The sequence below is a fragment of the Homo sapiens genome, chromosome 12, assembly GCF_000001405.40.
Source record: "Homo sapiens chromosome 12, GRCh38.p14 Primary Assembly".
Taxonomy (NCBI): domain Eukaryota; kingdom Metazoa; phylum Chordata; class Mammalia; order Primates; family Hominidae; genus Homo; species Homo sapiens.
Genome location: NC_000012.12, coordinates 63,869,741 through 63,884,055, shown reverse-complemented (window position 1 = coordinate 63,884,055; position 14,315 = coordinate 63,869,741). Strand labels below are relative to the sequence as shown.

General features: G+C 39.3%; 1 protein-coding gene and 1 pseudogene across 4 annotated transcripts in view, besides 1 other annotated feature; one reads left to right on the top strand and one right to left on the bottom strand.

Annotated features, from left to right (window-relative positions):
- Window positions 1-14,315, bottom strand: part of SRGAP1 (SLIT-ROBO Rho GTPase activating protein 1) — a 317,518-nt gene that overhangs the window by 278,162 nt on the left and 25,041 nt on the right. The window lies entirely within an intron of this gene.
- On the top strand, window positions 12,012-12,317 carry RPL36AP41 (ribosomal protein L36a pseudogene 41; annotated as a pseudogene).
- Window positions 12,798-13,387: an enhancer, noted in NCBI's record as "NANOG-H3K4me1 hESC enhancer chr12:64264449-64265038 (GRCh37/hg19 assembly coordinates)". NCBI's record gives its function as "activates a minimal SCP1, AML or CMV promoter by ChIP-STARR-seq in primed H9 embryonic stem cells {active_cell/tissue: H9 hESC(primed)}" and the evidence as "EXISTENCE:reporter gene assay evidence [ECO:0000049][PMID:30033119]".

Below are 14,315 nucleotides of genomic sequence, written 5' to 3'. Positions count from 1 at the left end.
CCGCCTAGCCTCCCGAAGTGCTGGGATTACAGGCGTGAGCTACCGCGCCTGGCCTGCTCTCCTACACCTTATTGCATGCATTGAAAAGCATTTCCCTTGGCCGGGCACGGTGGCTCACGCCTGTAATCCCAGCACTTTGTGAGGCCGAGACGGGCGGATCACGACGTCAGGAGATGCAGACCATCCTGGCTAACATGGTGAAACCCCGTCTCTACTAAAAATACAAAAAATTAGCCGGGTGTGGCGGCAGGCGCCTGTAGTCCCAGCTACTCGGGAGGCTGAGGCAGGAGAATGGCGTGAACCCGGGAGGTGGAGCTTGCAGTGAGCCGAGATTGCATCACTGCACTCCAGCCTGGGCGACAGAGCGAGAATCCGCCTCAAAAAAAAAAAAAGAAAAAAGAAAAAAGGATTTCCCTTTAAAGGAAATGTCAAAATAGAGGTATACCTCCTGGATTGATGAACAAGTCTTGGGTAGGGCTGTCAGTGTGAAGACATATTCCGGTACCAGAGGCATTTTTACATGTTCAACAATTTTGTATATGCAAAATGTCAATATTTAATTTTCTTTTTTAATTTAGGAAGGCGTTTGGTCATAACAACAAGAACATTTGCTATGAGATGTGTCAATCTACCATATGGGATTCCTCAAACGAACAAAAAGCAAGTTTTCTTCTTGTCACTTTCTGGGGCAAAGACTTACCTAGGTAAATCACCTTTGCTTATTGTAAAACTGTGTCCAGTTTCAAGAGACACTTTGGGGACAGCCTGGGATGGACAAAGGGCAGGACCAACTGAAACATATAAACAGTCCTGCTGTTTAATAAACTGAGGTGGGTTCAATCACACCATCATTTGCCCTGCTGAGTCTTTCATGATACTTTGAAAACTTCTTGAAAATGAAGACTTTCAGGGTTTAATGGGAAAAGTCCCTGTGGGCCTGAGCCTAAATGGGAATAATGGGGCTGGCAGGTGGGCCTGCATCTCCTGCAAGGCAGCTGTGAGCTTGGCAGGCTGTCACTGCAATCACATGATGAACCAGATCTGCCCCTGCCCTGAGCTGTAACTGGATATCTCCTCATACGCTTCAGAGACCAGGCTGATCTTGGGATCCCCTGAATGGGTCACAAAAGAAGTTTGTGTTGCTGACTTCTCACTGGCGTTGAAAAGCTCCTTTATGAAATGTCTACAAAATGTCACACACTAAGAGTTTCAAGAGAATTGTTCTTGGTTGGGTACCTAAACATAAAACCAAGAGACTCTGTTTGCTCTTAGCCATCTAAGAAGTTAGTTAATTTACAAAGCAGTTACTTGATTTTAACCAACAGTCTGTAAATAAATTCAATAAATATCCTAGCTATAATAAAAGACATACTTATATTCAATATGATTTTTTAATGTCAATCATTTTGAGTGATTAGAATGGATAACTTATGTTTGGTCTTTAAAATTTTTTAATTATAAAAACATTATAGGGCCGGGCGTGGTAGTTCACGCCTGTAATCCCAGCACTTTGGGAGGCCGAGGCGGGTGGATAACCTGAGGTCAGGAGTTCGAGACCAGCCTGGCCAACATGCTGAAACCCCCGTCTCTACTAAAAATACAAAAACTTAGCCAGGCGTGGTTGCGGTTACCTGTAATCTCTGCTACTTGGGAGGCTGAGGCAGGAGAATTGCTTGAACCCAGGAGGTGGAGGCTGCAGTGAGCCGAGATTGCGCCACTGCACTCCAGCCTAGGCAACAAGAGCAAAACTCCATCTCAAAAAAACAAAACAAAACAAAACAAAACAAAATTACAGAAGCATTATAAACACTGGATAGTAAAGGGAAAAAGAGCCATTCTTCATCACAACATTTACTTATCTAAACATCTTATCCCAAGCTGTTACTTAATCTATAAATCTTAAAATGTGTATATTTAGGTTGGTGCAAAAGTAATCGCAGTTTTTGCCATACTTTTAATGTCAAAACTGCAATAACTTTGCACCAACCTAATATTTGCTTAATTATATTCATGTCATATATACAAACTCTATATTCTAATTTTTCATTTATTCTCTATATAACTAGTTTCCACAATATTTCCCAATACTGCAGTCCTTGAATTAGTAAAACTTTATAGTTTATTATTTTTCTAGAGTTTTAGTAATTTATTTTAATGAGCTGTATATCAACTCTCAATTTTAAGTGTTTAAAAGTTAAAGCTAACTTTTATTTCAAAGATTCTCCAGAGGAATAGATTAATGCATATAAAATAGTTAAGAAGGGCAAAAATATGTTAGAACTCTACCCATATAAGAGGTTTACAAATACAACTGCTATTGGTACTCTAAAGGGTGTCATTTCTTCCCAAAAGTGTTGGACACTGACAATCTACATACATCAAGTGATGATAAAAAGTGGTAAATGAATATTGGCACCACTCGGTGCTTTACCTGAATTATCATATTTAAGCTGCACAATACCTTAGGCCTCAGTACTATTATTACTTCCATTTTACAGATAAGAAAAGTGAGGCTCAAAGACGGTAACTTGAATGAAGTCACAGAGCTGGGATGGGAATCCAGACATCCTGATCTAAAGTCACTATTTAGTCAGTATGCTATGAACTCTACTGGTCCCCCAAATAATGAGTAACCACCAAAAACCCAGTCCATTACTACAGATCATCAATTTATTTTTGATAAGATTTTTCCTTGCAAATGACTGTTATTACGCAGGTGAAATTCTGATAGCCTTTGCTATCCCAGTGATGTTAGTCTGTGTACATATCATAAAATATCCACAAATGGCTTACTGTAATGCATCAATGATCTGTAATAGTCCATGCAAGTACTTTGATAGATTCCAGCCCAGTCATATGTTCACACACCATTGTGTGTACTCTAGAAAATTACTATCTATAATATCAAGAGCTCAATGCCATTGAATTTCAACTACAGTAAGGTGTGGCCCTGACACTTTCCAGTTGACTTCGCAAAATATACTGTGCATGTTCTCTTGGGTTATGCGCATTTAAAAATGTTGACAGCAGTGTGTTGCTTTACAGCAGCTCCCTTCTCCTCCCTCCCCCTACTCCTGATCCGGTTGTGTTTTTGAGAGGGACCCTAGCAAAGTGAAGAGTGTGCAGATAAAGGAAGGCTGGTGAGACGCCTGGAACACATCATCCGCTCATTCATTCACACATCAGTACATTTTCGAGGTACATCTAGGGTCTGCCAGGAGCCAGGGAGGCAAGAAGAGAATAAAATAGTTCCTACTGCAAAGTCCACAGTTCTGTGGAGGAGTCAGATAAAATAATGGCAGTATAATAAAATACGTGGATTCATAAAGGTAATGGGAGGTGCTGCCAGAACACAGGGGATGGAGGAGAAACTGAGGACCTGAGATTCTTATACCTACACCCTATGAGATCTGGGCTCTCAAGGTCAGTGATGGAGTCACTGAGAACCCCTGTATTAGTCAATTTTCATACTGCTACGAAGAAATACTTGAGACTGGGTAATTTATAAAGAAAAAGAGGTTTGGCTGGGTGTGGTGGCTCACGCCTGTAATACCAGCACTTTCGGAGGCCGATGGGAGGGGCGGATCACTTGAGGTCAGGAGTTTGAGAGCAGCCTGGCCAAACAGTGAAACCCTGTCTTTACTAAAAATACAAAAATTAGTCAGGCGGGGTGGCATGCGTCTGTAATCCCAGCTGCTGGGGAGGCTGAGTCAGGAGAATCACTTGAACCCAGGAGGCGGAGGTTGCAGTGAGCTGAGATTGCTCCACTACGCTCCAGCCTGGGTAACAGAGTAAGACTCTGTCTCAAAAAAAGAAAAAGAGGTTTAACGGACTCACAGTTCTACATGGCTGGGGAGGCTTCACAATCATGGCGGTAGGCGAAGGAGGAGAAAAGGAACGTCTTACATGGCAGCAGGCTAGAGAGTGTGTGCAGGGGAACTGCCCTTTATAAAATCATCAGATCTCATGAGACTTTTCCACTATCACAACAACAGCATGGAAAAACCTGCCCCCATGATTCAATTACCTTCCCCAGGTCCCTCCCATGACACATGGAGATTATGGGAGCTACAATTCAAGATGAGATTTGGGTGCGCACACAGCTAAACCATATCAACCCATTATGGATGGAGATACTCCAATCAACGGCCATCTTGGTCTGGAGACAACCACTGAGTTTTATTCCCCTATGAGATCTCCAGTTACCTCAAATCAAACAATCTTACATTATGGGGAGGGAAGCTGTTGAACATGGATTTGGGTAGATAATTAATTTTCACTTACAGTTGGTAACTACTTTTGAGGTAGAAGGGATAAATTCATTGTCTATTTAGTAACTAATTCTATCCAAGAGTAATTAATATGAATATTTTAAATAAATCGCCATGAACTTGCTTCCCCCCAACTTAGTGCTCCTAAAAGTGTGGCTCATGGATCAGTACTGGTTTGCCAATTGTTTATTACCAGTCCCCAAAGAAATACAGAGAAATTGACAGTAAGCATTTAGAAAATGTATGTGTTTATTGGATCTCATTATTAAAATGGGGGCTTTGTATGTGTTTTGTATGTTTTTCTTTTTTAATATTAATTCATTGTATTGTACTTTATAAAAGCATCAGTTCATGACGAATTCGGAACAAAATTAGGCCTTCACCATAGATAGTCTGAGAGGCACAGCTCCAAATAATTCAGAGTATGTAAGTATGCAGAGGTGCATTTTTCCCCCTTAAAAAGAACAAAGGACAGGGTGAGGAAGCTCACACTTGTGATCCTAACACTTCGGAAGGCCAAGGCTGGAGGATCACTTGAGCCCAAGGGTTCAAGACCAGCCTGGGCAACATAGCAAGACCTCATCTCTATTAAAAATAAAAAATTAAAAAGAAAATAGCCAGGCATGGTGGTGCTCACCAATAGTCCCAGCTGTTCAGGAGGCTGAGGTGGGAGGATCACGTGAGACTGAAAGATTGAGGCTGCAGTGAGGTAGAATCACCAATAACTTCAGCCTGGGTGACATAGCAAGACCCTGTCTCAAAAAAAAGAAAAAAAAATGTAAATTAACAGTAAAGTTTTTCAAAAATCATTTAGCCTTCAGAATATGATTCTCATTCAAGATTGAAAGAACTACTGTTCATTGGGTTTATCTGTTTCAGGCACTGAGGTTGGCCTTCAAATGCATGGGCTCACTCAATTCTCAGCAACCCAACAAGGTGAGAATTAGCACTGTGTTATAGATGAGAAGACTGATCCCTAGAAAAGCTACATCACCAGCCAAGGACTTTGCAGCTAGGAGGTGGACTGTGAAACAGACTATCCAACTGTAAAGCCAGGACTCTCCAATGTAACTCAAAATCTACTCAATTATGAATAAAAAGGTGTAATGGTTTAATCTCACAGACAAACAAGGCATTCCCTATCATCCCTACCGTGTTCTAGAGATGTAGTCAAATTGACTAGAAAAATCAATTCCCACACAGCTTCAGAAATCAAAAGCTGACAGTTTATCAGATATACATACTCTACACACACACAAACACAAACATGCACACGCACACGAATAGAGGAATGAAGTAATGAACAATTACAACTTTGGTGGCAAGAATTTATCTCTGATTTTAAAAAGATGCGAACATACTCTCAATTATCTTCCACAGGGATTAGAAAACTATGATCTATTTTTACAAAGAGAACTTTATTAGAATACAGCCATGCCCATTCATTTCCATATTGTCTACCACTAGTCTTGGCTACAATGGTACAATAGAGAAGTTGTGACAGAAATTGAAGAGCCCACAAAGCCTCAAATATTTGCTCCCTGGCTCTTCACAGAAAAAGTTTGCTGACTCTTGCTTTATACCAATAAAGCAGGCAGCAGTACAGATAATGATATCCATAAACAAATGCCCAATCGCATTTCAGGCATTAGGATCAAGAATCTGATATAGCAACTCTTCTCTAATGTTGTTATTAGATAAAGAGAGCCTGACTTGCATTCTTGATATTTTTCCTTTGTCAGCTTTTTAAAGGAGGGTATACTGTCCAGCTAATTCTCCCAAATGTAGATGGCAGAAAGGCAAAAGTGTTTTAAGTAACCCACAGCATAGAGGCTCTATCATCAACTATGTAACAGCAGTGTGTGCAATCATCATTGGCTCCAGGTAAACATTCTAGGCACTTTCCACATATTTGTGAGGATTTCAGTAATCTGTCCAACAACCTTACGAAGGTGGGGCCACTAAGGCCTGGCAAGATTCAGTAACCTGACTAGAAAGATGGTATCTAAGCTGAGTGCTGGATCTAGAATTTGGTCTCAACACTCTCTGACCCTGAAACCTCTCTAGTGTTGCCAGTAGACACCACCACACATCTAAATTAGCCTCAAGACATAAAGTTTTATACCCAAATTTTATAAAATGATAATTTAATATTTTTGGCAATCAAGATGAAGTAACCAGATAGTTGTAACACTGTAGCATTACTATAACATTTGAAAACAATGTTCCACCTACCCAACAACTTTATTTGCTTGAATGAGTCCATGTTGAGGTTTTAACAAAAGACAGAAAGAAAATGTGACTAAGACACATCTTAATTACAGGCTTTTTTTTGGTTCTAATGTGAATTGTATTTTCCTATTAGATTATATTTTCCAGAAGAACAACGTGCATTTAAATTTTCCCAAAGGGAAAAAATACCTTTTCATGGGTTTATGTTTGCAAAGAAGAAAGCATTGGCAGAGAATCAATTTTCCCCAAAATACATACACACACAAAATAAATACAGACTACACAATTAAAGAAGCATTCCCATCCATTATTTTCTCTTTCTTTTTTTGAGATGGAGTTTCACTCTTGTTGCCCAAGCTGGAGTGTAATGGCGCAATCTCGGCTCACTGAAACCTTGCCTCCCAGGTTCAAGCCATTCTGCTGCTTCAGTCTCCCAAGTAGCTAAGATTACAGGCGCATGCCACCATGCTCAGCTAATTTTTTGTATTTTTAGTAGAAACGTGGTTTTGCCATGTTAGCCAGGCTAGTCTTAAACTCCTGACCTCAGATGATCTGCCTGCCTCAGCCTCCAAAAGTGCTGGGATTACAGGCATGAGCCACAGCACCTGGCCCACCATTTTCAACTTCAATATTATTGCAGCTTTAAGAGGAGAAGAAGTTCAAGTCCAAAGCCTGGTTCATATTTTTTAAAAGGTTCATTAATAATTTCCAAGAAGATAAGGATGCAGTCAACCAAAATGATATAAACTATATTGAGAAAATAGTTAAATACTACATGATCCTAAAAAGTTAAAATGATCTAGTTGGTGACTGATTTTTGTGCAAACAATAAATTATCTAAATCACATGCTTATCTTAGAAGTCAACATGAGCGTACATCATTCTGTTTGTCACAGTATTTTAGCCACAAACAATGCTTCTCCCACAAGATATAGACTAATGTTAAATGGTAGAAACATCTTGAATTTTGTAGTATTTAAATATAGTTATTCTCCATCAGAGGGTTGTATGCTTTTTGGAATTTGAGTTCCATAAACACTGTAATTTCACAGTTAAACATATTTCCATTGTCATAAATATTCAAATTACATAATAAAGATAGTATAAGCAGCTGATAAAATGCGATTAACATTCATTTACAGTAGCTTAGCAGGCTTAACCAAATGATACTTCCCATAACAGGCTACAAGGTTCTGATTGCATTAAGCTCCCTGATTATTCCTTTCTATCCTATGATATTTCAATACTATATCTGAGATTCCAAATATCACCATCAAGCGGATTGTAAGGTCTTTTGAAGTTCAAGAGTTCTAGGTTTCATGATATTAAAATTTTCTCCAAGCGTGTTTTCTGAGTTTGTACTTCTTAATTTCTTGTTTCCAAAAATGGTAGCTACTTACCATTTCTTCAATCTTTTCAGTTTAACTCTAGAAAACTAAGATCTCTGACAAAAAAGTCTTCAAACTTTTTATGTTGGTTTCATGTAAATAAACACACTTTTTTTAAAAAATGCATTACTCTGGATTTCCTCTGCTACATTTAAGTTATATTCAGCAAAGCTGTCACAGAGAGATACAATAAACATGATTGTTATGTTTTAAGTAATAAACACTGCTGTCAGCACATTACTTTCATTAAGTGAATTTTATCATTTGGTTTTATAAACAGCAGCTGGTAATTCTAGCTGAGTTTCCTTATTTCTTAGTGATCAGCCCGTCTTGGCAAGTGACTGCAACTAAGAAACTTTGTATATTGCAGAGACCTCTCTAAACTTGCAATCAACTACAGATTCAAATTACGTTCTTACAAAGAATTACGGATTTTCATATAAACAAATACACTCTTACTGTCCCACCAAAATACCTTCCAAGTTGTTAAAAGTGTCCCTATGCTTGCTTAAAGTTATAATCTTAGAACCAATCAAAAAGGATATCTAAGATAGCTTTTTCATAATCTTATTTACTGAGTTGTGTTGTAAATTTCAAAAACTATATCTTTAAAAAATTTTTAAAGAAATCTCAGTGCCATTTTGTTTATAAAATAAGACAATAAACATATTTCTGGTTCAACAACATACCATTTAACACTGTGCAATTTTGTTTACATACATTTCAGCATTCATAAGAACACAAAAATTCTAAATTGGGAGCAGCTAATATTTTTACAGCTTGATTATTGGCGACCTTCCTGCTAAAAAGCAGAAATAAAATAGGAGAAAATATTTAGAAACCTGATCTTTGAGGGTACAAACAAATATACACACACACACACACACCAAACAATAACTGAGCACTTATTATGTGCCAGGTATTAGAGCCAGCTTGTATTTGACGGATATGGTCTTTAAGGACTGCTCATGACTGTAATATCCAACACTTTGGGAGGTGGAGGAAGAGGATCACTTTGAGCTCAGGAGTTCAAGATCAGCCTGGGCAAGGCAGTGAGACCCCATCTCTACAAAACTAAAAAGTTAGCTAGGTGCAGTGGCAGATGCCTGTAGTCCTAGCTACTCAGGAGGCTGAGGTGGGAGGGCCCTTGGAGCCCAGGAGGCTGAGGCTGCAGTGAACTATGATCATGCAACTGCACTCTAGCCTGAGCAGCAGAGCAAGATCCTATCTCAAAAAAAATTTTTTTATAAGGGACCAAAGACGATAGAGGATAGAGGACAAACATTAAACAAGTAGTTACACAAACAATTAATTACAATTAGAGTGAGTTTTTAAAAATATTTTATATATAATAAAAGTAATTATATCATAGCAACAGTAAAAGCTCATATTTGAGAGTTCACTATAAGGCCAGGCATTCTTCTAGCACTTTATATACTCATTCATTTAATCATCATTGTACTACACATTTGTTATAGGAAATTTGGAAAATAAACACATAAAGAAGGAGCTTTTAAAAAACTGTCCCTCCCTTTTCCTCAGAAATAATAATTGTAATATATTCCGGTATATACTGTATTTTATTAATCATATTTTTCTCTCTTCATGGGATTTCTTAAATAGTTCATTTGTCCTTTAATACTCTTCAAAAGTCACACTTTCGGCCGGGCGTGGTTGCTCACACCTGTAATCCCAGCACTTTGGGAGGTCGAGGCAGGCGGATCACGAGGTCAGGAGATCGAGATCATCCTGGCTAACATGGTGAAACCCTGTTACTATTAAAAATACAAAAAGTTAGCCAGGCATGGTGGCAGGCACCTGTAGTCCCAGCTACTCGGGAGGATGACGCAGGAGAATGGTGTGAACCCAGGAGGCGGAGCTTGCAGCGAGCCGAGATCGTGCCACTGCACTCCAGCCTGGGAGACAGAGGCAGACTCCAGCTCAAAAAAAAAAGAGTCATACTTTCTAATGGTTCCATATTATGCTAACACTTTTACATATAATAATTGATTTGATTATTTATTGGCTCTTGAATATCTATGTGGCTTATAATTTTCTTTCTTTCCTTTCTTTCTCTGTCTCTCCCTTCCTTCTTTCTTCTCTTTCTTTCCTCTCTCTCTCATTTTCTCTTTCTGACAGAGTCTCGCTCAGTCACCCAGGCTGGAGTGCAGTGGTGCAGATCTCAGTTCACTGCAACCTCCACTTCTCAGACTCAATTGATCCTCCCACCTCAGCCTCCTGAGTAGCTGCATGCGACCATAGGCACACACCACCATGCCTGGCTAATTTTTGTATTTTTTGTAGAGACAGAGTTTCGTCACGTTACCAGGTTGGTCTTGAAGATAGCAGGCACCTGTAGTCCCAGCTACTCAGGAGGCTAAGGCAGGAGAATCACTTGAACCCTGGACGCTGAGGTTGCAGCGAACTGAGATTGCACCACTGTACTCCAGCCTGGGCAACAGGGTGAGACTCCATCTCAAAAAAATAAATAAATAAATAAAATAAAATCTAATTTTATATGGCATTCAGCCAAGGCTTATATAACATAATGTCATTTCACTAGTTATGTCATCTCTGGTAAATTCAACTTTCCTCAGTTTTTTTTTCTTTTCTTTTCTTTTTTTTTTTTTTGAGACGGATTTTCACTCTTGATGCCCAGGTTGGAGTGGAATGGCTCAATCTCGGCTCACTGCAACTTCTGCCTCCTGGGTTCAAGCGATTCTCCTGCCTCAGCCTCCTAAGTAGCTGGGATTACAGGCATGCGCCACCATACTCAGCTAATTTTTTTGTATTTGTAGTAGACACGAGATTTCACCATGTCAGTCAGGCTGGTCTTGAGCTCCTGACCTCAGTTGATCCACCCGCCTCGGCCTCCCAAAGTGCTGGGATTACAGGTGTGAGCTACCGCGCCCGGCCAACTTTCCTCAGTTTTCTAATCTAGAAAATGGGACAATGGGATTAGCAGTGTGTACCTCATATATTTCTTGTGAGATTTAAGCAAAATGTAAAATTCACTTACACTGCCAGGCATAAACTCTATGCCCAATAGCTATTAGCTATTATTAGCACTACCTGTCTATTCTTATCTTTTACTACTCTGCTCAAGGCACTTAAAACACTAAGCTCATGATTGTTAAGAAGGAAACATATTAGAATCATTTCAGGAGCCTTTCCTATACCCAGAATGCCCCTCCTTTCCTAGAGAACTCCTCATCCATCAAGGTCTAGCCCAGATGTCTCTCTCATGAGTTTGTATTGTACTCTCCCAGGCAGAATGAATTTCTTCCTCCACAATATTCCCATAAATTAAGATATCTCTAACAGACTCTATGGCAAATCTTTGTTTACTTTTCAACTTTAAAACCAGGATATAAACCACAAAAAGACATGGACTGTATTTCACTATTCATTCAACAAACACTGCCTGAGCGACTACTATAAGACAAAAAAGGGCCCAATAAAAAAACAAATCCCTGTCCTTGATAAATCTATAAAGATATTCAATAGCTGTTTGTTGAATGAATGAACTTATGATACTTAATTCCAGCATGACTGTAAATGAATTTAAACCAGTGACCCAGAATCAAATACTTCAATTATCTTAACAATATAATGGAGTCACAGTACATTTAATTTATTGGAGTTGAACCACATGTCTATGTCTACTTGGAAGGGAAAAAAGGAGAAAGGACAAAATCCTATTTTCCCTAACATCCTTTCCCTCTTTCAACTAGACCGTGGCCACAGGCAAGTGTGGGGTCGTAGCCCATAAGCAAAGAGAAACTTAAATTAATTTCTGGCTTCAGAGCTTTCATGGATGCACTTCTTGGTGACTTGGGGATTTTCAAGGGTAATTTTACAAAATGTTTTCTCCTTATTGTCTGACTTGAGATCCTACCTCTCACGTACGTTGTAGTTCCCATATAACTATTGTTAAATCAATTTCATAAATTGCCAGTAGACCTAGGGTACAAAAACAATCAAACAGGTGCTCTCATGAAACATAACGAAATGTTCCATTTAAAGAAAAACTCCCGGTTAGGTGAGAGCTGTACAAGGCAAGGGTCTCGGACACTGTTTCTTGTGTTCATCATATAAACAGAACAGCCCTGCTGCAAAGATGGTCAACGTACCTAAACCCGAAGAACCTTTGTAAGCATCACCTGACGAAGTGACACAGTATAAGAAGGGCAAGGATTCATCGTATGCCCAGGGAAAGAGGTGCTATGATCAGAAGCAGAGTGGCTATGGTGGGCAGACAAAGCCAATTTTCTGGAAGAAGGCTAAGACCACAAAGAAGGTTGTGCTAAGGCTGGAATGTGTTGAGCCTAACTGCAGATCCAAGAGGATGCTGGCCATTAACAGATGCAAGCATTTTGAACTGGGAGGATATAAGAAAAGAAAGGACCAAGTGATCCAGTTCTAAACTTTGGAATATTTTTCTTTTAATTTTGAAGAGAAAATGTTGAAGCAATAGAAAAATTACCTGTAGGAAAATACAGCGCTATTCTTATGCCAAAAAAAAAAGAAAAAAGAAAAACTCCCAACCTCACACTAACTTGCATGAGCCATAACCTACAAAAAACCTGCACTTTGGTTGTTCTAGAGTCAGGTGTCAAATGTGATGACTGTCCTAAGAGCTGGCGGTAACTGTAGAAAACTGAAATGTGCTAGCGAAGCCCTACGGAGGGTTACATTGCCCTGTGTTCTTTTTCCTTAGTTCAAAAGCACATGCAGATTTGCAGGGAAATTGAACCATTAATCCTCAAGGGCTCATCAGGCTCCCACTTTAGATTTCAATTTACCCAGGTGTGGCATGAAAAGGCGCTTTATAATTTGGGAAGGGAACAAAATATGAAAATGAAGGAAAAATGGCAAAGCAAAAAGCAAGGAGCTACATGCATTTTCTAGAATCTTAGTTTAAATAGCCATGATTTGATGTCCATTGAGAGCAATTGTAAGAAAGGTAAAAGATCTTTGGGAAATTGGGAGGAAAATTAGCATTTAAATTGGCTAACTTAAGGAAGTTATAAAATCGCTTGATTTTTACGGCAGTAGTTCCCAAAGTGTGGTCCTTGACCTACAGCATCAGTCTCACCTGGTAACTCGTTACAAATGCAAATCTGGGGGCCTGAGGTGGGGCCTGTGTCAAGTGGCTCCACCAGAATTCCTAGCACCACTCAAAGAGGACCAACAACAAAGGGTGAACACTTAAATAAAATCAAGAGAAGAGATAGAAGCTGAAGAGATACAACCTCTTTCCCAAGAAAATCAAGCTAGGAAGGCGGGGAGCAGTGGCTCACTCCTATAATCCCTAATCCCAGCACTTTGGGACACATTGGACTCAATGGAATATTGTGGAGGAATATTGTGAGGCAGGCGGATTTCTTGAGCTCAGGAGTTCAAGACCAGCCTGGCCAACATGGCAAAACCTCCATCTCTACTAAAAATACAAAAATTAGTTGGGCATGGTGGCACACGCCTGCAGTCCCAGCTACTCAGGAGGTTGACGCAGGAGAATCACTTGAACCCCAGAAGCGGAGGTTGCACTGACAGCTGAGATCGCACCATTGCACTCCAGCCTGGGCAACAGAGCAAGACTCTCTCAAAAAAAAAAAAAAAAAAAAAAAATCAAGATAGGGAGGAACCTCTTCATTTGGAAACTAGCAAAGCCATGTGGTGGAAGTAACAAGGAGCTGACACAGTGATTCTTATTATCCCTAGGAACAGGGCATTACATTTTAGCAAGAGTATTCATTCCAATTTAGGATTTTAAAAAATATTTCTCCCCAAACTACCTTTTCTTATGTTTTTCTTTTACTTTCTTTTTAAATTTATTTCTTCTCTACAGGCAAGTTCTACCCAAACCGCTTTTTCTAATGCATATAAAGAGGCAGCTCCACCATGAGTCTCCTCATCAAATAATCCATTGAGGTAATAATAAAACAGCAATTTTATGTTAGCACATAATTGTTGAACAACAACAACAAAAAAATACAGACTTTTATCTGACCTTATAAACTCTTATTAGGTCAAAGATGGCAATCATTCTTCCTAGTTTTTTGGAAGTTTAAACAGAATGAATAACATGCAATGTAAGCATTTAACCTTTTTTTAAGGTGGCATCCTGATGTAGCCCTGCAGGATGGTTCCAGCACAGGTTTGGACCCTGGTGGCTCCACCATTTACCAGCTATGTGATCTTGGGAAAAAGACCTCAAGTTTCTAAGTTTTGAGTTTCTTTTTCCCTATCTGTAATGTGACACCAATATGACCTCTCTTAAAAAAGAACACACTGTGAATGTAAGCTGCTGTTACTAAGACATTAACAATAACCCCAGGCAACATTCATATTGTATCTACTAGGCTGATGCAAAAGTAATATTGGTTTTTGCCATTACTTTTGCACCAACCTAATAGCAAAC